Source organism: Homo sapiens, chromosome 4 (genome assembly GCF_000001405.40).
Source record: "Homo sapiens chromosome 4, GRCh38.p14 Primary Assembly".
In the NCBI taxonomy this organism is placed as follows: Eukaryota; Metazoa; Chordata; class Mammalia; order Primates; family Hominidae; genus Homo; species Homo sapiens.
Window position 1 is genome coordinate 98,783,473 of NC_000004.12, and position 26,191 is coordinate 98,809,663.

A 26,191-nucleotide genomic window follows, 5' to 3' on the forward strand; every position below is an offset into this window, starting at 1 on the left:
AGGAAAAGGCGCAGCTCCTCATAGCTAGCAGCACTGGGGAGCCAGCATTGTCAGAAAAAGTGGGAGTGTGGAGGATCAGGGACCTGAACCCAAGCCCAGAGAAGAGCTGTATGGAGACCTGGTATGGCCATCTGAGAGGAGCTGTCATCTTTGGTAGAGTGAGGCATCTGACTCTGCAGCCAACCCATAGCAACCCAGTGGGAGGGAGCCACGAGGGACAAACCTCCTGACCTTACTTTCCTTGCACCCTCTGATCTCCTGACAGGGTCTCCCATTGCCCAAATCCCCCTGAAGCCAGAGGACAGGAAGCCTATTAAGTAGGCAGGTCAGCCTCCCAGGACACACAGCAGCAGAGAGGAGGGTAGAAAGGGAATCTGGAAAGGAAGCTGGATTTAGAAATCAGTGATATGTGGCTGTGATGAACATTTAGCTTTATTTGTAGAAGCACAGATTGCTGACACCCAACATCACCAAATAATAAAAGATCTAATTGTATGTTGAAGATTCTTGAAACTGGGGTGGTTAAAAAGTTTAATAGGAAAGTTAAAGGAAAAAAATGCCTCTTTCTTGATTATTAGAAATAGGATTTTTAAAGCCCCTATTTTCTTTAAGTAAGTTGTTTTCCAAATTGTCAACTACAGCCAATACAGTAGAAAGTTAAGCATATGGAAGTTCCTTAACAACATGGCAGTAAAGTTCAGTATAGAAAAAGAAATTCTCTCATTAATTTTGTCCTGGAAATAGAATACCTGTCAGATTTGACCAAAAGGTTTTACATTTCTGGAGTGCTCCACCAAATTATGGCCCAGGGTCTATGGTGACCCAGGGGGAGTGCTCCCTAACTCTGGACCAAAGCAGAGTCTGCAGAGGGCCGGGTGGGCAAGGCTGGATGTTGACTGAGGACAGCTGGGTCAGACAGGAAGTACAAGTGGCCAGCTGAGGTATCAACTGGAAGATGCATCACAAAATGAGAAGCTGAGATTCTTTGAGGCATGGTGCATGGCCAATGATTCAGGACCAAGGCTGTTAGATGCCAGCAATAAAGTGCTGCTTAGCTGTTTGTTTTTGAGGCAGAAATGACTAGAAGAGGACAGACCTCATTCCATGCCTATTAAGACCAAAGATGTCTGTACACAGCCCATTTGTGGCTCTGTTATGAGAAATCAAACCCAGCCATGAGTTTCCTGTACACGAAGCCACACTGATTGTTGCCTTTCCAACATTTCTGGCCCGACCTCCCACTGCTTCTTAACTCATTCATCGATGCTCCACTCACAAGGATTTCCCTGAGCATAACGCGATGTTTCACATTCCTGTGCCTTTGAACGTTGTATGAGACTTCAGATTTAGTGGCTGTAACAAAGAGACAATGAAAAGAGAATGCCTTCAATTAGAGTTTGTATTTCCCTCCTGAAGTAGTCCTGAGGTGAGTGTACAGAACTGGAAGGGCAGTGCTGCTCCACACAGTCATTCAGGGACTCAAGGTCCTACCATCTTATTTCTTCACCATCTCCTGAGGTGTTGCCATTGTCCACAGGATTGAAGAAAGCTTACCTTCATGTCTGGCAAAGAGAAAGCCTGGGGTAAGTCACTTTGCCTCTAAGGAGTTGACTCAAGTTGCACGATCGCTGCTACTCACACGCTATAGGCCTGAACCTAGTCACATGGCCATGGCTACCTCCAAAGAGGCTGGAAAATATAGTCTCTAGCTAGTGGCCATGTGCTCTACCCAAATGCATGGTCTTCATGAAAGGGGAGACAATTAGAAGTTTCTGCCACCATCTGCTATTTTCTTAACCAGGAATGGCCTTTTGTCACTTTGATCGTTTGCCTGATCTCTCCTCCCTGCCCTTTGTGACTTAGTAAAAATAAATTTTCTCTGTTCCCCAACTCCAGTATTTTGTTAACTCCTCTCTTATAATTACCTGTATACAACTTGGTCTGGGAGCTGAAGAAGCCAGCAATAAATTACTGAAATCACCTCTGCAGTTTTACAATTTTATGGTGTCTATAAAACCTCCCAGTAATTGCAGTGTTCACTTGGTCATCCTGCAGAACAGTATTGCTATTGGGAAAAAAAAAACTGTGTTTACAGCCCTGGTCACATTCTTTTATATGCTCCAAAGTTAAAGATCTTCTGTGACCAGGAAATGGTCTATCCTAGGCAAGACTTTACTATTCTTCTTCATTGTTGCTCCTTGTAGTAAGTTGTGCCCACTTCTATACTGTCCTGTGGGACCTACTAAGCTTTAGGGACCAGACCATCACCATAATCATAAGATGCTCTCATATGTATCAAAATAAAATTTATACATGAGGACAGGCACAGTGGCTCATGCCTGTAATCCCAGTGCTTTGGGAGGTCAAGGCAGGAGGATCACTTGAGGCCAGGAATTGGGGACTAGAGTGAGCAACATAATGAGATCCTGTTAAAAAAAAGTTGTTTTTTTTTTTTTTTTTAATTAACCAGGCACTGTGGCAGGCACCCTGTAGTCTGAGCTACATGGAGGCTGAAACAGGAGGATCACTTGAGCCCAAGAGTTCAAGACTGCAATGAGACATGATTGTACCATTGCACTGGGTGACAGATCAAGACCCAGGAAGGCCCAGATACTCTTGTTATGAGACTGCTAAACTGATAAAATAATACGTACGATTACAGAGCACTTTAGCTGGTGTCTGACTTTGGGCCCAAGTAAAATTCAGACATATCTGAATTAATCTGTTAAAGGGTAGCCACATCTTGGAGTTGGCCATTTGCATAATAATACTAATTTGTGGCTGAAGGAATGAAGGGGTGCACAGGGGATACATGTGCCTGAGGGTGCAGACTAGGGATGCAGAGCCTGCATACCGCCAGTGCCCTGAACAGCTGGAAGACACGAGGAGCTCAGACACTTGTTGTTTGGTGCAATGGATGTGCTACAGGGAGACAGCAAAGTTGTTATAAAATATTCTGGGCTGGAAGCTACAAACTTGAGTGCTAACCTATCTTTACCTGGACTTCACTTCTCTAGGCTTCTGTTTTCTCATTTGTTATGGAATTGGTTTGGGCGAGATGATTTCTGTGGGCCTTGCAGTTAAAATGTTTTCTGACTCAGCCGGGCATGGTGGCTCACACCTGTAACCCTAGCACTTTAGGAGACCAAGGTGGGCTGATCTCTTGAGACTGAGGATTCGAGACCAGCCTGGCCAACATGGTGAAACCCTGTTTCTACTAAAAATACAAAAATTAGCTGGGTGTGGTGCTGTGTGCCTGTAATCCCAGCTACTCAGGAGGCTGAGGCAGGAGAATCACTTGAATCCAGGAGGCGGAGATTTCAGTGAGCCGAGATTGCACCATGACACCCCAGCCTGGGTGACAGAGCGAGACTTTGTCTCAAAAAAGAAAAAAATAAACTTAAAAAAAGTTTTCCGATTCTAAGGAGAACTCCGACCATAAAAGAAATTAACGTGGTGTGATACACTATCAAGACCAGTAAGTTAATGAGAAAAAGAAAGGCATGAATATGAGTAGCTGAGTATGTCTCCTTTATCAAATGGAAGCAGGACCTGAAATCCATTTCTTTGGACACAGACAGAGGGCAGCAGTACCAGGAGTGGTGGTTTTCTGTGGTGTCCATAGATTCCAATAAACCCTTACTTCCGTGGAAATGAGGAAACAAGGCTGTTTCCTAACAGATCGGTGGTTTTTAAAATCCCATGTCTTCTGAAACTTTCTGTCCATCTGTTTCTGTTGTGCTGAACTCCGCTTTGGTAGCATGAAAAGGAAGAGGCAAGCAGCAGCTGGAATAAAAAAAGACATTGTTCCTTCCTATTCAGCCAGTACATTCTATTCACAAAGTTGGGGCAAGGTGTGGTGGCTCCTGCCTATAATCCCAGCACTTTGGGAGGCTGAGGTGGGAGAATCACTTGAGGCCAGGAGTTCGAGAACAGCTTGGGCAACATCATGAGACCTTATCTCATTTTTTTAAAAGTGGGCAATGATAAATAAAATGATACTGAAATTTTTGAACACTTCATATTTCATATACGTTTACAAACCTGTTATAATTGGCTACCAAAATCTTCACATTTTTATCCCCTTCCAGTCTCTACTTACTCCTTGTATTTTAGAGCATCTGGGTTTTTTGGTTTTGGTTTTGGGATTTTTTTTTTTTTTTTTTTTTTTTTGGTCATTACCCTATCATGCTCTTGTCCTTGAATTTTTTCTCAATTTCCTTATTATCTCCAAAAATATCTGCAGCACATTGATAAAGGGAATGGTATAGATAGACAATAGGGGAAAACATCCCACAAAATATTCTAGCAATACTAAATTCTTATCTGCAGTTTTCTCTGGCTGAGAGTTAGGTGGAGAAGGAAGGTGGTGAAGAGAAAGCAAAAATACACTTTCTTCATGCTTTGATAAGCTCTGTGTGTGTCCCTTATTAGGAGACCCAGTTCAAGAAAAAATAGAATAAACAGCATCCTCTGTCATTCCTAGATTGTTTTGCTCTGACTGACCTCACCTGAAAGTAAGTAAATGTGGAAGAGGGTCATAATGCAACTTACTGGTGATTTATTTGCAGAAGTAAATGAAAATAATAGTGATAAATAAGGGTAATGTATATTGATTGCATTAATGGGCCATTCTTTTATGCCTTCCTACATCCGTGCTCTTGGGCAGTACCCTTCCACACTGACTTTCTGCTTGGTTATGTGTCTTGTTCTGACCAATGGGGCTGTAGCAATGTTGATGTAAGCAGGGGCTTCAAAAAACCTTTACATGATTCGTACAGCCATTATAGAAAACAGTATGGGGGTCCTCAAAAAAAAAATAAAACTAGAACTTCCATATGATCTGGCAATCCTGCTTCTGGGTATAAATCCAAAGGAAATGAAGTCAGCATGTCAAAGAGATGGCTGCACTCCCATATTTATTGCAGCATTATTCACAATAGCCAAGTTAAGGAATCAATCTGTGTCCATCAACGGATGAATGGACAAAGAAAATGTGGTATATTTACACAATAGAATAATATTCAGACTTCAAAAATTTAAAAAATCCTGTCATTTGTGACAACATGGATAAACCTGAAGAACGTTATGTTAAGGGAAATAAGCCAGGCACAGAAAGACAAATACTGTAGGACCTCACTTACACAAGGGGACTTCAAAAAGTTCATGGAAAAATGCATATTGTGAAAAAACTATGCATAGATCTCAAACCATTTTTTAACCAAAATAAACTTGTACTACCCTATTATAACATGTCTGGTGCCAGGCGCCTGTAATCCCAGCACTTTGGGAGGCTGAGGCAGGCAGATCACAAGGTCAGGAGTTTAAGACCAGCCTGGCCAATATGGTGAAACCCCATCTCTACTAAAAATACAAAAAATATCAAAGAGTGGTGGCAGATGCCTGTTATCCCAGCTACTCAGGAGGCTGAGGCAGGAGAATCACTTGAACCCAGGATGGGGAGGTTACAGTGAGCCAAGATCTCACCACTGCACTCCAGCCTGGGTGACAGTGCAAGACTATCTAAAAAAAAAAAAAAAAAAAAAAAAAAAAAACACGTCTGGACAGGATCTAGTTTAAGGCATTAAAAAGTATTGAACATCAGTTTGAAAAGAGCACCTATCAGAGCCACATAAATCTTCAAAAACTGAAGCAAGAACAAATACCAAACTTATGCTGAAGCTTAGGTAGAAAAATGATAAAATCATTCATGCTTTACAAAAAGTTTATGGGAACAATGCTCCAAAGAAATCAGCAGTTTACAAATGGACAATGAGGCAAAGTTAAAGATGAAGCTCACAGAGGCAGACCATCCACATCAATATTCAAGGAAGAAAATAATCTTGTGTATACCCTAATTGAAGAGGACTGACGATTAATGACAGAAACAAAAGCCAACACCACAGACATCTCAACTGGGTCAGCTTACACATTTCTGACTGACAAATAAAATTGAGCAAACTTTCCACTCAATGGATGCCACAATTGTTGCTCTCAGATTAGCTGCAGACAAGAGCAGAGCTTTCAATGGAAATCTTAAACAAGTAGGAGCAAGATCCTGAAGCATTTCTTCAAAGAAGTGTAACAGGAGATGCAACACGGCCTTACCAGTACAATCCTGAAGACAAAGTACAATCACAGCGATGGCTACCAAGAGGTGGAAGAAGTTCAGTCAGAGCAAAAGTGAACTGGTCAGAAGCAAAGGTCATGGCAACAGTTTTTTGGGATGTTCAAGGCATTTTGCTTGTTGGCTTTCTGGACAGCCAGAAAAAATAATAACATCTACTTATTATGAGAGTGTTTTGAGAAAGTTAACCAATGCTATTAGCAGAAAAATGCCCGAGAAAGCTTCACCAGATACTCTTTCTCTACATGATAATGCTCCTGCTCCTTCTTCTCATCAACCAAGGGCAATTTTAGGCATCCACCTTACAGTTCTGATTTGGTTCCTCCTGACTTCTTTTTGTTTCCTAATATTAAAAAATGTGTAAATGGCACCCATTTTTTTTCTCAGTTAATGATGTAAAAAAAGAGACTGCATTGACATGATTAAATTCCCAAGGCCCTGAGTTCTTTAGGGATAGGCTAGTATCATTGTTTACAAAAGTATTTTGAACTTGATGGAGTTTATATTGAGAAATAATATGTATATTTATATTGTATTTTTATCTTTTAACTACATTCTTCCAGGGACATTTTTATTCCCCCTGTTATGTGTAATAAAAAAGTTGAACTCAGGGAGGCAGAGAATAGAATGATGGTTACCAGGGTCTAGAGGCTGAAGTGGAAAAGACTGGGGAAATGCTGGTCAAAGGACACAAAATTAGACAGACAAAAGGAATAAGTTCAAGAGATCCATTGTACAGCATGATTACTATAGTTAATAACAATGTATTGTATACTTACAATTGCTGAGAGTAGATTTAATTGTTCCCACTATAAAAAATGATAAGGGTATAAGGTAATGTATATATTAATTAGCTTGAGTTAGCCATTCTGAAATGTGTACATATATCAAAATATCATATGTGTATACCATAAATATATATATATATAATTTTGTCAATTAAAAAAAGAAAGAATTTTTTTAAAATCTCCAAATGTCTCCACTTCCTCTCTTGTGCTCTGTCATCATCATGAGAACTAGGCAGCTGGGGGATGAAACGCATGTGGCAGACCCAACCATCCCAGTGGAGGCCATCATAGATTACATAATAGCCAGATGATCCCCACACATGTGAATGAGAACAGATGAACCCATCTCTGATCAGAAGAGCTGCCAGATAACCTGTAGACTTGTAAGAAACAATTGCTTTCCACCACAATTATTATGTGAGGTGATTTATTATGCAGCAATAGCTAACTGATACAGATAATAATAATAATTTATTGAGTATTTAGTATATGTCAGGTACTCCTTAATGCTTCTTTCATAAATCATTTCATCCTTGTAATAACTCTGATAGTACTACTACAGACTCCTTTTTAAAATTCATATTATTGAGGCTAAAGTATAAACCTTCAAAATGATTTTTCACATTCTATTAACATCACAAATATCCTGTGCCATAGACAGGGAAGGTATGAGACAAGATCAAGTTGTCTAATGTACGTGCAGTTGGAGTCTTAGATGATGAGGAGAAAGAGAATAAAGTAGAAAAAAATTAGAAGAAATAATGGCCAAACATGTTCCACATTTTGTGAAAAACATCCACCCACAGATTCAAGAAGCTCAACAAATCACTAGCAGGATAAATACAAAGAAAACCACATGTGGGCACACTATAGTCAAACTGCCTGAAAATTGAAGATAAAATCTTTAAATCAGTTAGGAAAAAAAATGATGTTACAGAGGAGCAACTATAAGAATGATACATGGGCCAGGGACAGTGGCTCACGCCTGTAATCCCAGCACTTTGGGAGGCCAAGACAGGCGGATCACTTAAGGTCAGGAGTTCAAGACCAGCCTGGCCAACATGGTGAAACCCCATCTCTACCAAAAATACAAAAAAAATTGGTGGGCATGGTGGCTCACACCTGTAATCCTAGCTACTCAGGAGGCTGAGGTGGGAGAATCACTTGAACTGGGAGGCAGAGGTTGCAGTGAGCTGAGACCGTGCCACTGCACTGCACTCCAGCCTGGGTGACAAAATGAGACTCTTTCTAAAAAAAAAAAAAGAAAATGATATGTAACCTCTAATCAGAAATAATGGAAGCCAGAAGACAATTAAAAGATTTGTTTAAAGTGCTAAAGGGGGAAAAAGTCAATCTTGAACTATATATACAGCCAAAATATACTCCAAAAATGAGGGTGAAATAGATATTGTCAATATATGAAAACTAAGAGAAGTTATTACCCCCAAACATCAATTATAAGAAATGTAGTTAGAGAAAATTCCTCAGGCTGAAAGAAAATGTCACATGGCAACTCAAATTTATAGAAGTAATGAAAAGTACCAAAAATGTAAATACATTGGTAGATATAAAAAGTTACCATTTTTTCGGTAGATATAAAAGGTTATCATTTTTTCCTTTTTTAATTATATTAAAGATAGTTGGCCCTTTAAGGTAAAAAAATTATATTTGGAATTTGCAATTTGCGTAGATGGAAAATATACAACAAAAATAGCACAAAGTACGGGGATATAAATACATTAGAGACTTAAGTTTCAGGTGTCTAACAATTAATTAAATGCCTTTTGATCATGGCTAGAGTTTGCCATTTGCTATGTTGGTAGCCACCCATAGGAAATGAGAAATGTAAGGCATGGTCCTTGACCTTGAGGAACTTACAAGGAGCTGAGAAAGCAATGTATAAAACACAGAAATACCCCAGCAATAATTGAAAGATAATGAGTGGAAAATCAAAACAGCAGACAAAATGGCTAGGATTTCCTAGGGTTCAAAATGCAAAGGAGTGATAAAATTCACTCCTAGTCCATCTGAAGACAATTTATGAATTAGGAGGGGGAAAAAACAGATTTCCTCTCATAGTTAATGTCTGGAAAAGTATGTAAAACTGGACTTCAGCCCCAGTAACACTCAGTTGGGCTCCTATGAGCAGTGAAACACAGTGGCTCTGATCTGAGTGGATGGAGATGTAATTGGAAAGATTTCTAGGATCCTGAGTTGTGCATTAAATAACTTCATAAACATAGACGGTTTTCACATCCAAAGGAAAGAATAACTTCTGCATTAATTTTCAGAAAGAGCTTCAAAGAATCTCAACCTTGGTACATTTTTGGAAGTTTCAGATCCAGCTCAACTAAACTTTGCTTTGTCTTTCTGTTTCAAACAATCTCATGGGAATGTTTTATATTTCTTCTTTAAATTTCATCTTTTTGGAAAAATTATGAAGGCAAGGGTTTGAGTAAAGGAGGAAATTTGAAAGTTTGCGATTCTTAGTTAGTATTGAATATTAAATAGCCCAAAGGCTATTACTAAGCAATAATTCTCTGGAAGAATATTTAAAGGAGTCCTTTTCTCCCTCTCTCATTGAACACACTCATTTATGCATGCACACATATTCCATCTGTGCTACTACAAATATTAATTTAAAACTTGGCAGATGATTATCTTAAAAGATGAAATAAGTCATCAACTGCCAAATTAAGAGTTAACAGCTCCTAGCATTTAAAATTGTGATTAGATTTTTACTGGGTATCGAAAGTTTACTTTAACTTTCAAACTAAAGGGAAATAATATAAATTGTGTCTTCAAGAAAATAAGCAAAATTTTAAAATAATTTTTCTAATTGTGCCCTCAAAATTCATGTTTATTAATTATAAAGCTATTCATTTATACTCTAGAAAACTTTGAAAATAGACACACACACACACACACACACACACACATTGAGAAAAATGGGAAAACCTAAACTTTCATCATCCTCTCAGAAAAAAGTCATGCTAACATTTTTGTTTCCCTTTTGGTCTATCTTTTCTGCATGCACACATACTTTCAGACAACATTAAAACGTTATTTTTAATAACTTTTAGATTATACTGCTTTAACAGTTTTGAATCTTTTCTTTCATTTAACCAATCATTAAAGATCTTTCAAACACATTATTTTAGGTATCTGCCATAATTATGTATCTCTAGTATGGCCTCCAATGATTATTGCCTCCTGGTAATCATGACCTTGTGCTATAGCCTCTTACAATGAATACAGCTAACCTAAGTAACCAATAAGATGCAAGAAATGGTAGCATGAAAGACACTACAGCTTCCACCTTGCTCTTTTTTGGACTATTCTCTATGGGAAAAGCCAGCTGCCATGTTCATGATCACATCCCTATAGAGAGGTCCACATAATGAGGAGTTGAGGCCTCCTGCCAAGAACCAGCACGAATTTGCCAAGTACTTGAGTTTTTCATCATGTAAGAGGATCCTCCCACCTCAGACAAGTTTACACATGACTGCAACCCTGACCAACACCTTGACTGTAACCTCATACAGACATGGAGACAGAACCTCCAAAGTGATCTGCTCCTGGGTTCCCGACTCATAGAAATTGAGTGCATTCGTAAATATTGATTGTTTTAAACATTTAAATTTTAGGATAACTTGTTGTATATGGACAACTAATAATTATTTTGGCACCAAAAGTGGGGTGCTACCATAACAAAACCCTAAAATGTGGGGTGGCTTTACAACAGAGAAAAGAAAACAGTTTGAGAAGTAAAAGAATAAAGTACATTGCACCAGATGAAACTAGGGACAGAGTGCACAGACAGCCTACAGATGGGAGAAAACTTTTGCAAACTATTTTCATTTGATCTGACGAATACATGGAAAATATGAGACACTATTGAAAAACTATTATAAATAATGAAAGAATTTAGTAAGGTGATAAAAGACCAAAGAACTATGTTTCTACCCTAGATGCATTCAAGGGGCTTTGAATAGAGGTCCGACCAAGTGTGTTTATAGGCAGTGGTAGGAGAAACAGAGCTGTTTCTTGATTGTATCCTACTTAATTCACTTATTCAGCGAACAAGTTACACAAATACACACAATAATTTTAGCTGTATAACACTTGAACACTACATGCGTAATCCTGAAATGTGGGCACATGCACTTATAAACCCTAATTATTGTGGGGGAGTTGTTGCTAATTTTGAAACTACAATTAGCAGGATGGAAATAATGGAGCATCTGGTGATTAAAGCAGCGTGTCAACCTGAACCACCTCATTCCTAACCTCAGTCCCTGTAGCTTCTCATATTCTTTCAGATCAGCTTCTCTGAGACTAATCAGCAAGTCTTTGCTGTTTAGCTTCCTGGGCCACTGCTGAGTCACCCTCCCACTCTTAGCAGGCTCTTACTTGTGTGAGTTTCTGCTAAGTTATCCAGTTCCTATCCCTAAGGGTATGTTCAAGCCCTGAAGCCTAACTAGTTTCTTCTTGAAGCAAAAATTTGCATGTTGTTAACTCTCAACTACTTATGGTTACAGGTCTCAGGAACAGGTGGATCTTGTTGCTGAACCACAAACTAGATTCTGCCTATGAAATTTACCTGCTCTACCACATCTATTAGCAAGTGATAGAGCTAATCAGGATGTGTTGCCTTTGCTTGCTCTATCGCACATTCCCTGACAAAGATATCAATGACAATGGAAAGGGATAACCTGGAGGAGGGAATAAGAAGACAGTAGGGTCCGACAAGTGAACAGCAATTCTTTGGACCCACAGGGACTGTCAGTAATCTCACCAGGCACTTTTAGGGTATATCTCCAGGCTCAGAGCCCTTGCAGTGATGTTTTATACACATTTGGCCTTCCTGCCATGTTTGACAAAAATCCCTAAGGCTAAAGTGCATTGAAACATAGGAATATATTGGTGTGTCCCTTTCTGCAGTCTTCCCAGACTTTGGAAAGATGAATATGACTGTCACTAAGTGGAGACTCTGCAATCCCCACGCAGAGTTGGCATGGGGGCACTGGTGATGAGCAAAAGGATAGGGATCTTCAAGTGACTTTTTAAGCACACAAAGAGAGTAGGTGGTTCTTCATAGGCAAAGGAGACAAATTGCCGGAAGCCAAAAGGTAGACAGTTGCAGTAATCTGTGTGCTTTCTCAGAAATGAAATACAGAGATCCTACCCTTCCATTTCGTCAAGTAAAAGTGAGGCTTGTGAGAATCTGTCATCCTTTGCTTGGAAACTCTATGCTGAAGCATGTGCCATGTTTACTCTCAGTAAACTGCATCCTAGGCCTATAGAGAAGAGAGCAACCAACTATTAAATGGTTAGAAAGAGAAAAAACATGAGAAAGTTATCTTCAGCATTCCCTCATTTATGAAGCTATTGAAATAGCACATCCTGGAATATGCAGACTAAATTTTCCATCCTGGTTTCATAACACTTTACAGTCTCTCCATTTATCTCATGAGATATTAAGGAACTCACAAAACTGATTTACAATTAATTTTATTTCAAATGAATATATAGCATATCACATTTGATGAATCAGAAAGAGGAAATTTGAAAGACAGTAAAAATAGTATGTTGTGAACTTAAAAAGAAGTTGAAAATCCTGTCTCTATAGATAGTTCTGGCAAAATAAATGCATATAGAGCAAAAGAGTGAGTACATCAGTGTCCTTTTGGAAAGTCGGTGACACTCAGAATGCTTTGGGGGCTTAACCTTGATTCATATGGAATTTGAAAAGCCCATGTCTCACCTCAGGATTCAGTTTGATTCAGCCTTTACTATGTCCCTCACACTGAGCTAGGCACTAGTGATTCAAAGAGAAATGGCACCCACCTGCCCAAGGAAGAGTCTAGAAGATGGCATTTTTGCTATCCTACCAGCAAAAAGAAACAAGGGACCAAGTCAGTTTAGCAAACACTATTGTGAGCTGACTGTAAGGCTCTATGCAAAGCCCTGATAAACCCCCAAATAATGCCAAGCAGCAAATGACTTTTTAAAGCCATATTACATATTGACTTTGTAATGCATAATGGGCATCTGGGCACAGAAGATTTACTTCCCTAATTATGTGTTACTTATGCTAATATTAAAATTAGCCTGTATTCCCTAATCACCTTCAGAGGAAGAAGTGGCTTTAGAAGCATGCTGGGCAACAGATTAAAAAGGATTGAAAATACCTAAGTGTGAAAAATTTTATAATAAAAGTTAACACCCATGAGCTTTTAAAGATAAAACATGGCTTCTCTTTCCACTCACTATTCTTTCTTCTTCATATCTTTTTTCTTCTTTTTTTGTGAAATTATATGTGACTCCTTAAAAGTATGAAAAACGTTTGCTGCAATCTTTATAAAACCGTGGATTATGGAAGGAGCCCCCACTAAGGGTTTAGATATTGTACTAAGTATGTTACGTAAATTATCTCTTTTAATCTTCCCTAGAGCTGTGTGAAAAAGAGATTGTTATCATAAGTTTAGAGATGAGGAAACTGAAGCTCAAAAAGTATTTACATAACCTATAAAAGATCAAACCAGAATTTAAATATTAGTCCATCAACTTTAAGACTTATGCCTTTCTACTATCCAATGCACTCTAACCTTTAATATCCCACTGTACCAGTAGCCAATAGAGAAATGGGCAAAGGAGAGAAATCCACCGTTCACAGGAAAGGAAATACAAATGGCCCTTAAACATATTTTGTAGATGTTCAAATGGGCTCATAGGAAATGCAAAATAAAACTTCATCTGTCAAAATAGCCGAGAGAAAAACCATTTGGCATCACGCTGTGTTGGCAAGGGTGTGGGGAAAAAGCCTTGCTCATTCGTTGCTGGTGAGAGTAAAAGATTGACGCAACTGCGTTAGAGGGAAATTTGCCAATTCCTATCAAAATTACCCTTCTATAATTTTATCCTTCAAGTATATATTTGCACTTGTGAGATATGACGTGTGCACAAGATTATTCATTGCAATGTGGTTTATAACAGGAAAGGATTGAAACAACCTGATGTTCATTAACAGGCTTACAAATTATGTTCATCTATACAAAGAATTGTATGCAACCATTACAAAATGAGAATTATTGTTAATGTAATTTGTTAAGTGAAAAAATGAAGGTGCAGAACAGCAAGTGCTATGTGTTCCCATTTGTGTAAAGGGAAAAGTATGCACAAGTCTTTGTATGTAACTAGACTATATCTGGGTAGGCTGGGGTGGAAGGGAGACATTGCTTCACACCCTGTGGATCTTTTGAATTTTGAACCATGTAATGTATAACCCCTATTATTTTATTTCGTTAGAGATGAAGGTCTCACTATGTTGCCCAAGCTAGACTTGAACTCCTGGGTTCAAGTGATCCTCCCACCTCAGCCTCCCAAGTATCTAGGACTACAGGCATATGCCACCATGCCCAACTTGTATAGCCAATTTTTAAAAAGTAAAGCTTAAAAATTAAAATGAATGCCAATTACTTCCCTTTGATTTGAGAACACCATATTTAGCTACTGAATAATAGAAGGAGGACAATGATACTCTATTGAGTTGAACCTGAAAGTTGTGCAAATTTTTATGAAATCACCACCAGTTAGCTTTTTCTTTGGACTTTCATGTCTTTGGAACTACTTCTTCCCTAAATTGTTGTTAAGGCTATAAATTGAGCTCTTTACTTCCTTCTTATAACAATGTAACAACAAGAAGGATAATATATAGGAGGTCGGCTACTTGCAAAGCTCTGAGGTTAGAGCTGTGGCTGTATTGTCTCATTTAATCCTCACTATATCCTTAAACGGTGGAAATACCAGCCCCACTTTAAAGGTGAGAAAACAGAGACTTAGACAAGTTAGCATTTTCCATTTTAATTGGTTTCCAGGCAGTATGAAGCAACTTTTTTCTAATGCGTATGTCTTTGAGAGGAAAGAGAAGTTTTTTTAAAACGGTCTTTAAAAGCCCACCATGCCATGCAGAAAAAAAAAAAAAAAAAAAGATGCTGACACAAAATTTATTCCACAGAGATTATTCTAAAGGACTCTTCTCACATTCAAGTGCTACTCAGAAAAATAGTCCATGAGTTATATAAGAGATTCTAATATTTTAAAGGAAAAAAAATCCCATAAAAGTTGAGCTGCCAGGCTCCTTTGCCCGTTCAATTTCTCAAGTCTGATGTGTTCAAAGCAAATTCTCTTCTTTTACAACAAAGAGTACTCAATTCTTTTCTTATTGCATTATGATAAAGATCATATAGTACATCCCCTTAGCACTCTTTGCACCAGCCTCAAGCATTTTCTCACAAGTTCTCGAGTCGAGGGTAAAAGCCTGCCATACTAATAGGTATACCAAAAGCTTTCCACTAAAAAATATACTTGATATGTAGTACTGAAGTAAGGACAACAAAATCAATCATTCAGCCCTGGGTTTTATTCCCCTGTCACTGCTTAGGAGGCTTGAATTTAAGTTATAGTGCTTGCAAGAAGTGCGTACAAAACTGACCTTCAATTCCCCATTGTCCCAGCTGATATCTTCATCGCCAGGGTTCTCCAATTTCCTCTCTCTTAGCCATTAAGAAGTGCATCAGACCTCACTATGGAGCTCCCAAGAGAAGTGCTAGTATGTTCTAGTTCAAAAACTAAGGAGATTGAAAATAGTTTTCCCATCAAATTGCCATTTTGGTCTTAAAAGGTTTTCATTGTGTTATGAGGTTTGCGCTAGAATTCAGACATCTTGATAATGAAAACTCTGTGTTGATATTGGTGAACCGAAGTGACTAAACTGCTACTCCCAGGGCAGAATTTGGTGTGCAAAGCACACGACAAAGACAATATAAAAATTATTTTATTTCTTTTTTGGGTTTTGGTTGACATGGATTTTGTTTATTGCCTCCACATAATTCTATCCAATGGGACATATTATAATCATCACCTATTTATGGCAAGGCATTGTTCTAGGCACGGAGGATACAAGCAAATGCAAAACCAAGTCCCTGCACTCAGGACTTTGATATTCTATGAATATTCTACAAGATTCTGCAGAGGTTATACCAGTTATTACATATAACATCTCAGGTAGGTGCTATGTGACATGAGAACAATGAAACCAAATAAGGGGGTAGAAACTAGCAAAGGGTGCATTTCAGTTAGAGTGGCCAGGAGGAGGAGGTGCCACTTTCACAGAGATCTGAGAGAAGCCTGTGGTTATCCAGAGAAAGAGACTCCAGTGCACAGGGAACACCAAACTCAAGGCCCTGAGACAGGAGTGGGTTTGGCAGAAATAGCAGAGGCCTGTGTAGAAGGATAAAGGGAGCAAAGGGGTGAATGGAAGGAGATGGGGTCAGAAAAAATAGCCGAGATCCCTAATGAGCTCTGCAGGTCAAAATAAAAACTTTGGACATTGGGAAGCCATGAAAAGGTTTTGAGCAGATGAGTAACATAATCTGATTTAGATTTTTGAATTTTTAAAATTTATTTTTTTTAATTATTATTTTTAGGCTGGGCATGGTGGCTCACACCTGTAATCCCAGCACTTTGGGAGGTTGAAGCAGGTGAATCGCTTGAGCTCAGGAGTTTGAGACCAGCCTGGGCAACAAAGTGAGATCCCATCTTTATAACATTGCAAAAATTAGCCGGATATGGTGGCATGTGCCTGTGGCCCCAGCTACCTGGGAGGTGGAGGTGGGAGGATGGCTTGAGCCTGGGAGGCAGATGTTGTAGTGAGCCAAGATCATGCCACTGCACTCTAGCCTGGGTGACAGAGCCAGAACCTGTCTCAAAATATGTATAATTATTATTTTTTTTAAAAAAATAGAGACAAGGACTCACTCTGTTGCCCAGGCTAGAGTGCAGTGGCGTGATCATAGCTAACTGTGACCTTGAACTCCTGGCCTCAAGCAATCCTTCCACCTAGCCTCACAAGTAGCTAGGGCTACAGGTGCATACTGCTACACCAGCTAAGTTTTAAATTTTTGGTAGAGATGAGGTCTTTCTATGTTGCCAAGGCTGGTCTCAAACTCCTGGCCTCAAGTGAACCTCCCACCTTGGCATCCCAAAGTGCTGGCATTATAGACATGAACTGCTGCACCTCACCTGATTTACATTTTTAAATGACATCTTGGAATCTATAATTATCTCAAAATAAAAGTTTTTTAAAAGATATCTCTGGCTACTGAGTGGAGAGATGACTGTAGGGGTTATGGTAGATAGACTCTCAGATGGCCACAGTGATCCCCACCTTCCGGTGCTCCTACCCTTTAGCATGAGTACACACTCGATTTGTTAACTCACTAATGAGGAATTGAATATGACAGAAGCAATAGGATGTCACTTCTGAGATTAGACTAAAAAAAGACTGTGGCTTCCATCTTGAACATCGTCTCCCATATTCTCTCCATCCCCCACCCCCTTCCCTGCCATCTTGCTCATTCTGGGTGAAGGCAGTTGCCACATTGTGAGCTGCCCTGAGGTCTACACGATAAGAAGCTGAAGCCTGTGACAGCACATGAGTGGTCCTGGAAGTAGACCCCCCAACCCTAGTCAGAAGTCTGAGGAAAAGACCTAGCCTGAGCCTAGTCCAGGACTATGTGACAGAGATTAAGCTGATTCCAGAAGGCCAGGAAAGTGGAGGTGACAATGGTAAAGACCATGGGTTTTCACGTCAGGAAGGTCAGGGTAGGAATTCCAGCTCTCTATTGTTAACTGTGTGACCTCAGTGAACTTATTTAATCTCTTCAAGCCTCAGTGTTCTTGACTGCAAAATAAGGATAATAAAAGTACTTACCTTTAGCGCAACACTGGCTGGTTGAAAGAGTTTGCTAATATGTATTTTCCTTAACACAGTGCCCAGCACATAGTAAGTTCTCAACTGATGAGCCTGGAGCGGCCACGATGTGAACTGTCACCGGCCACTGCTGCTCCGACTCCCTGGAAGCACACAGGGTGATTAAAGGAGGCGGCAGTGCCCTTTATCTCAAAGCAAAGTTGCACTGCTGTGTCAGAGATTACAAACAGTGAGGTGCACATAATCCCTGCGCAGCTATTCTTCTAGGAAAAGCTGTGATCAAAAGCCTGCTTTAGCCCATCAGTGAACACAGCTGTAGGTTCCCTCAGCTCTCTTCCCACCCTTGATAAGGGAACCTTTAAAATGCCTTAAAGGTAAGCCCTGCTGCTGAGCTGAAAGAGGTCCAAGTGGGGACAGGGCTGATTCATTGGAGAAACAATGCTCCACAGAGTGTCAGTCCTTCCAGCCACTCTGTGCACACTGTGTCACCACATCTGCTTCTTGGCAGCTACTGTCTGCTTTGTGACCCACAGATATACAAAGAGACAATGCAGAGAAAGGCAGGTCAAGATGCTGGTGGATCAGTGGAGGACCAAGTGCACACCAAGGCACCCACAAAGTGCTAGTTAAGCCCAGGGGCTGACTGTCATGCCACGGCTGTGAGACACACGCCTGCTTGGATGGCACACCCCTGTCTGGCATTTGGGGCCTTGTCATTAAGAGCTAATGCATAGCATCAAAAGGGAAGACTGGCTCAGCAGCAGGTAAGTTCAGGGACAATCATCACAAAGTAAAGCCACCAGCACAACCCTGCTAGAAAGAATGGTCATCTTCATGGATTATGACACCACAAGCCAACAGCACATGAAAACAAGGAACAATGATATCGATGGGCCAAACAAATATATGCAAGCATATGTATGTATTATATATAAAATATATATATATATATAGAATTAGCATATGTTATCATAAAAACTAAATGCTAATGTTTACCAGGTTCAAGAGGCCAAAGAGATTTTTTTTTTGAGATCGAGTCTCACTCCATCGCCCAGGCTAGAGTGCAGTGGTGCAATCTCGGCTCACTGCAACTTCCGCCCCCTGGGTTCGAGCAATTCACCTGCCTCAGCCTCCCAAGTAGCTGGGATTACAGGTGCCCGCCACCACACCGGGCTAATTTTTGTGTTTTTAGTGGAGATGGGGTTTCACCATGTTGGCAGAGCTGGTCTCGAACTCCTGACCTCAAGTAATCCACCCACCTCGCCCTCCCAAAGTGCTGGGATTACAGGCGTGAGCCACCGTGCCCAGCTGAGAATTTTTTTTAAATGCTAGTGTTTATAGCAGAAAATAACATCTGGAAAGAACAAAATGTTTGTCTCATGTGTACATCTAATCTTCAGGTTCACCATTTAGTTAAAGATATCCACCTGAATCCAAGAAGATGTCATCAGGCTTGTATTTCTGTTCTAAAATGGAAGATTTCAGAAATTCAAATGTACTTGTAAATCTCAATATGCTTCATTTTGGCCTATAACTGAGCCATAACCTCTGCTAACACCCATAAACAATTATATTTGGAAATAGAAGTATTGAAAGTTACACAATTTGCAAATTTTCTTAATATTCCTCCTCTCTGTGGATCTTTGCCAGCATTCTGTCATTTCTAATCTATGGTGTCAGCTTGACAGTTAAACCAAACAAAAGCTAATGTTTTTGGCAGGAGAAAATAATCAGCACATCCATTCATTAGCATCCTCCTCACACATTCTTTGTCAATTATAAATATTTGCTTGAGCTAAACTCTGTCACCATCATTGAAGCCATTACTGCCTGTAACTTAGTGATATATTTGAAGAGTCAAGCTTCTGGCATTTTGCAGCTGGGGCTCCAGCATAATCAAAATATTCATAAACTAACACTTGGGTCCCAGCAGAGTATCTTACTCGAGATAACAAATGATGATCCTAGACAATGGAACTACAAGTCAAACTCTGAGTCATGAGTTTCATAATGGTGTTTCTGGGCTATATCCATTAGCTTCTGATAAAAGCCTTTTCAATTGCTATTTGGGGACATTTTTAGGGGACATTCAATTACACGGTTGGACTTGTACATTGGCAGATGCTGCAGCATTCTTGGGGGAGCTCCAGATCCTACTAAATGTAATGAAAGTTGTTGGTGCCCCATCTAGATTCCCTTTAAAAGCAGGTGCTCCTGTCCTCAGCTGCTGTGAGCAGTGGCTGCTAACAATTCACAGCTGCCCCCTTCTCCAGACACCTGCCCTTGGCCAAGTGGGAACAGTCTTGATCTGGGAGCTCTGCCCTCTACACTCATCCCCTGACCTCAGCCAATGACTTAGTGACATGAAGGGGCGTGAAGGGAAGTCTCCCTTCTCTCAAGGGAGCGACCAACTCTGTGGTGCAATTCATGCCTCAGAACCTCCCCATGGGAACAGGCTGAAGCTGGTCTTCCAGGGAGACAACATTTTTGCTTTGCCTTTTTCCTATGACCTATCCTGATTCTCTCATTCATTTCTCCTGTGAATAATCAGAAAAAAAAACACTTCTAAGAGAATCCCCATCTCAAGGTCTGCTTTTAGGGAGACCTACTTGAGGCACTAAGAACTTCTCTTTGCCCGGGACGGGACTTTGCCCCTGCCTGGGCCCACCAGGAACCCTGGGCCCCAACAGGTGAACTGGTGGCTACTTCAAGACTCAACACAGATGTGTCTTTTCTGGTGTGATCTGGAGGTTTTCCCTACAGACCGCGAGATACCCAGCCTAACGACAGTGTCTCATTCGCTCCCAGCACCTAGCACAGTTCTGGCAGAATTTCTTATCTCTGCCCTGACTGACAAAATCTTTCTCAATCTTTCTGGACATCAATTAGAAAAAAGACGGAAACCCCAACAGATAAATAGGCATAGAATATGAACAAAGACAGCTCACTTAAATGGAAACATAAGACCAGCTCATTCTCACTCATAACAAGTGAAATGTGTATTAAAACTACACAGAGATACCATTTTTCAATTCTCAGACTGGGAAACATCCAAAATATGATTTTTATTCTATCCCTAGATCCAGCCCAGTGATAGTGGGTTCTTTTTTTCCCTGTTACAAATGAATTGTTATTCCAAGAAATGCCCCTGTGGGAGTTCACTGTGGGGAAATAAATCTGATAAAATTCTATAAAGCCCTTCTGAGCTGTGGGTGAAGTGAGAGTGCAAACCCTAATCATTAGCCTGAACATCCACCTCCTCAGGAATATTATATATTATGTTTCTTCTCTAGGTCATGGAAACATACTGCTTTCCTTATTTCCTCTGTCCTACCCAAGTAAGAGTTCTTATTGTCACTTTTATCTGTTTCTCACTTTTGCCTGAGATCTCTCTCTTCAAGACCACAAAATGTCTTGCGAGCCTGAGTCATACCTTCAATTTATCGTATTTTCCCCACTCATCTTACTGCAAGGTGGGATTAGTGGAGTATGTATTTTCCTCTATCATACAGTGTCTGCTAGTTAAGTGTATATATGTCTGTTTCCTCCACAGATCTATGTCATTTATGGCATTATTGTTACCAAAATTTTGCTTCCTCTCTCTGTAGAAGAAGACTTCTTTGCTTCAATGGTGTCCCAGTTCGGTCTTGAAATTTTCTCTGCTCAGTAAAATTGAGCAGAAGCGATACAAGCAGCTTCCAATCAGAAGCTTTGAGACCCATCATGTGGTTCCATCATCACATTCTTTCCTCTACTGCAAGACCATCCCCAAGACTAGCATATCCCAGAAAAAGTGTATTCCCTTAGCCTGGCTCCTGGAACAAAAACAACATAGAGCAGAGACATGAAGGACACAAATGTGAGTGAGAAATAAACCTCAGTGGTCTTCAGCCTCTGAGATTTGGGAGTCATTTGTTACTGCAGTAGAACCTGGTCAGATGTCTTCTACACTCTGTAATCTCCAGTGCATCTTATTTTCCTTTCTACTCAAAACAGCATCTCATATAATTCTTTGCCTGTGGTACACATTCAATAAAAACTGGCTAAATAGAATTTTTATTTTGTGGCCAGGCGTGGTGGCTCATGCCTGTAATCCCAGCACTTTGGGAGGCCAAGGCAGGTGGATCACCTGAGGTCAGGAGTTTGAGACTAGCCTGGCCAACATGGTGAAACCCCGTCACTACTAAAAATACAAAAATTAGCCAGGCATGGTGGCACATGCCTGTAATTCCAGCTATCCAGGAGGCTGAGGCAGGAGAATTGCTTGAACCCAGGAGGTGGAGGATGCAGTGAGCCAAGATTGTGCCATTGCACTCCAGACTGGGCGACAACAGTGAAACACCATCTGGAAAAATAAAAATAAAAAGAATTTTTATTTTCCACTTTTGCTTCCTCTTCCCTTTTCTTTCTGAACAATTTAGTTCAAAGCCATTAGAGAGGCCAAGGAAGGTAGGTGTTTGGGAAAGGGGTAGAAGAGGATCTGTGGTGGCTCAGGCAGGTGGCCAGAGCCTGAGCAGGGTGAGGAGACTTGATCACATAAATACAGACTATGTGTCATGGGAGCCAAGTTTCTCACTATCAGAGAAAGGTGCTGATCTTTGACAAACCTGACAAAAAACAAGAAATGGGGAAAGGATTCCTTATTTAACAAATGGTGCTGGGAAAACTGGCAAGCCATATGTAGAAAGCTGAAACTGGATCCCTTCCTTACACCTTACACAAAAATTAATTCAAGATGGATTAAAGACTTACATGTTAGACCTAAAACCATAAAAACCCTAGAAGAAAACCTAGGCAATACCGTTCAGGACATAGGCATGGGCAAGGACTTCATGTCTACAACACCAAAAGCAATGACAGCAAAAGCCAAATTTGACAAATGGGATCTAATTAAACTAAAGAACTTCAGCACAGCAAAAGAAACTACCATCAGAATGAACAGGCAACCTACAGAATGGGAGAAAATTTTTGCAATCTACTCATCTCACAAAGGGCTAATATCCAGAATCTACAATGAACTCAAACAAATTTACAAGAAAAAAACAAGCAAACCCATCAACAAGTGGGTGAAGGATATGAACAGACACTTCTCAAAAGAAGACATTTATGCAGCCAACAGACACATGAAAAAATGCTCATCATCACTGGCCATCAGAGAAATGTAAATCAAAACCACAATGAGATACCACCTCACACCAGTTAGAATGGTGATCATTAAAAAGTCAGGAAACAACAGGTGCTGGAGAGGATGTGGAGAAATAGGAAAACTTCTACACTGTTGGTGGGACTGTAAACTAGTTCAACCATTGTGGAAGACAGTGTGGTGATTCCTCAGGGATCTAGAACCAGAAATACCATTTGACCCAGCCATCTCACTACTGGGTATATACCCAAAGGATTATAAATCGTGCTGCTATAAAGACACATGCACACGTGTGTTTATTGTGGCACTATTCACAATAGCAAAGACTTGGAACCAACCCAAATGTCCAACAATGATAGACTGGATTAAGAAAATGTGGCACATACACACCACGGAATACTGTGCAGCCATAAAAAATGATGAGTTCATGTCCTTTGTAGGGACATGGATGAAGCTGGAAACCATCATTCTCAGCAAACTATTGCAAGAACAAAAAACCAAACACCGCATGTTCTCACTCATAGGTGGGAATTGAACAATGAGAAAACTTGGACACAGGAAGGGGAACATCACACACCAGGGCCTGTTGAGGGGTGTGGGGAGGGGGGAGGGATAGCATTAGGAGATATACCTAATGTAAATGACGAGTTAATGGGTGCAGCACACCAACATGGCACACGTATACATATGTAACAAACCTGCATGTTGTGCACATGTACCCTAGAACTTAAAGTATAATAAAAAAATAAAAAGAAAAGAAAAATAAACAAAAAACAAATACAGGAAGCAAGAAAATTATAATGAACCCTGTTTTGTTGGATTGGAAGTGATGACAATGTGATGGTGGCTTACCAAAAATAGATGTTGCCTTATCTGGCTTACTCTCCATTACCAATTAATCAAATCAACATTGATGATATTTAACATTTCCCATACCACTATGCACTATGTTCTGAATATTTGCATCCCTCCCAATTCACATGTTGAAATTCTAACCCCAAGTGAACCCCATTCATATGTTGAAATTCTAACCATAATAATAGGAGGTAGGAACTTTTGGGAGATGATTAGGTCATGAGGCCAGAGTCCTCATGAAGGAATAAATAGGCCCAAAGGTGCTCCTTCACCCCTTCCACCATGTAAGGATTCAGCAAGAAGATACTGTCTATAAGGAACAGGGCCCTTACCAGACACCAAGTCTGCCAGCACCGTGGTCTTGGACTTGTCAGCCTCCAGAACTGTGATTAATACATGTCTGTTGTTTATAAGCTGCCCAGTTTATGGTATTTTATTATAGCACCCTGAATGGACTAAGTCACCATGCTTGAAGGTTCAAGGAAAACCTCATATCTAATACTGTTACAGTGGTGTGCACCTGACTTAAAAAATGTTATTTTTGCTGAGTGCGGTGGCTCACGCCTGTAATCCCAGCACTTTGGGAGGCTGAGGCAGGTGCATTACCTAGGGTTAGGAGTTCAGGACCAGCCTGGCCAACACAGTGAAACCCCGTCTCTACTAAAAATACAAAAAAAAAAAAAAAAAAAATTAGCTGGGCGTGGTGGCGGGCGCCTGTAGTCCCAGCTACTCTGGAGGCTGAGGCAGGAGAATGGCATGAACCCAAGAGGCGGAGCTTTCAGTGAGCCAAGATCATGGCACTGCACTCTAGCCTGGGTGACAGAGCGAGTCTCAAAAAAAAAAAAAAAAAATTAGCTGGGCATGGTGGCAGTCGCCTGTAATCCCAGCTACTCAGGAGGCTGAGGCAAGAGAATTGCTTGAACCTGGGAGGCAGAGATTGTGGTGAGCTGAGATCGCACCATTGCACTCCAGCCTGAGCAGCAAGAGGGAAACTCCATCTCAAAACAAAGAAAAAAAAAAGAAAAAAAAATTATTTTTAATCTGGGACAAATAGGTGACAGCAATAAAAAATAATAATGAAATAAAAATTTAAAAAGTGTCTGCATCTTCAAAAAGAAGGTTAACAACATAATTCTTGTTTTTTTTTTGTTTTGTTTTTTTTGAGACAGGGTCTCACTCTATCATGGTTACTTTTGATTCAGTTCACTGTCCCACTGGGTGGAGTGCAGTGGCACAATCATAGCTCACTGCAACGTGGAATTCTTGGGTTCAAGTCATCCTCCTGCCTCAGCCTCCTGAGTAGCTGGAACTACAGGCATGCACCACCATACGCAGCTAATTTTTTTTTATTTTTGTAGAGATGGAGTCTTGCTCTGATGCCCAAGCTGGTCTTGAATTCCCAGCCTCAAGCAACCCTGCCTCGACCTCCCAAAGAGGTGAGATTATAGGCATAAGCCATGGGACCCAGCCACATAATACTTAATATTGCTGAGGAGGTAGATGTCCTTGTTAATAATTGTTAATTAATTAACAATTAAGGATTATACTCTCCTTTCATTCACAGCTCAAAAGAGCTTTATATAGCTTTATAAAATTGATTTCCCAATAGTAGGATGCCACAGGGGCATCTCTTGATCTAGCAATTCAGCTGCAGCAGAGAGAAAAAGAAACCACTGTCACTGGGCTGGATAGATGGGTAGAATAAGAGCCCATCTATTTATTTGAATTCAAGCTCATTCATTCTGATGTGTCATTTAGTGATGTTTATATTTTTATCTCATGGTTTTTTAACCTGATTTTTTTTTTCCAGAAGGAAAAGCAGCTTTAAGCATCATCAAAGTTCAGGGCCCATTATGCTACAACAACTAATGCATTTTGTAACTACCTCATTAGGATAAAGACCCATGGGCAAGTTTCGTTCTAGTTGTTTATAGAGCAAGAAATCCAGGCCCATCTGCTCTTACAGACCTGTATCAAGAAATGCTTCTCTCAGGACCAGATTTTGAGGAAGGTATGAGGATCTTTTCGCCTAAGTTTTCACCTGAGTTGATGTAGAACCATCTAATCCACTCACTATAGAAGAGAAAGATGAGAGTTCAGAGGTGGCAGAAACACAAACAACTCATTCTGTTTCAGGAGATGACACTATTTCTTGTCCCAGGGACATAACGCTCTCATTGTTGGACCTGGCTTCTCGATGGGGCTGAGAAATATCTGCTCTCATGGCTTCCTACTTCTCTGGTTTCCCAGGAATATCAGCTGTGAAAAGGTATGTATCTCAAGCAGGGAATCAGGGGGACAGTGAACTGAACCAAAAATAACCATGATAATCAGGCATTATACACAGTTTTGTATCAGATGCTGTCCTGGGTACCAGGGATACAAAGATGACAAAACATGGCCCCTGCTCCTTACTCTAGTGGGACAGAAAAATAAACAAGTCATTGGGATACATGAAGTGGGAGAGCCACATGCCAAGAGTTGACAAAACACAAAGGAGG

The 26,191-nt window shown here is 40.3% G+C and overlaps 1 long non-coding RNA gene across 2 annotated transcripts in view, besides 1 other annotated feature; it reads right to left on the reverse strand.

Moving 5' to 3' along the window:
- Positions 1-414: 414 nt before the first annotated feature.
- LOC105377343 (uncharacterized) overlaps positions 415-26,191 on the reverse strand; it is a 78,644-nt gene continuing 52,867 nt past the window's right edge. The window contains exons 1-4 of one of the 2 annotated variants that reach the window (XR_007058197.1): positions 17,693-17,836; positions 3,644-3,786; positions 1,926-2,065; positions 415-1,353 (exon numbers count right to left, since the gene is read on the reverse strand). This is a non-coding gene — a long non-coding RNA (uncharacterized LOC105377343). Of the gene's footprint in view, positions 1,354-1,925; positions 2,066-3,643; positions 3,787-17,692; positions 17,837-26,191 lie in introns of those variants that run through there. The other variant, XR_007058196.1, reaches the window with a different exon arrangement.
- Positions 17,786-18,080: a silencer, noted in NCBI's record as "tiled region #12926; K562 Repressive DNase matched - State 8:EnhW". NCBI's record gives its function as "represses a minimal TATA promoter and a strong SV40 promoter by Sharpr-MPRA in K562 cells {active_cell/tissue: K562}" and the evidence as "EXISTENCE:reporter gene assay evidence [ECO:0000049][PMID:27701403]".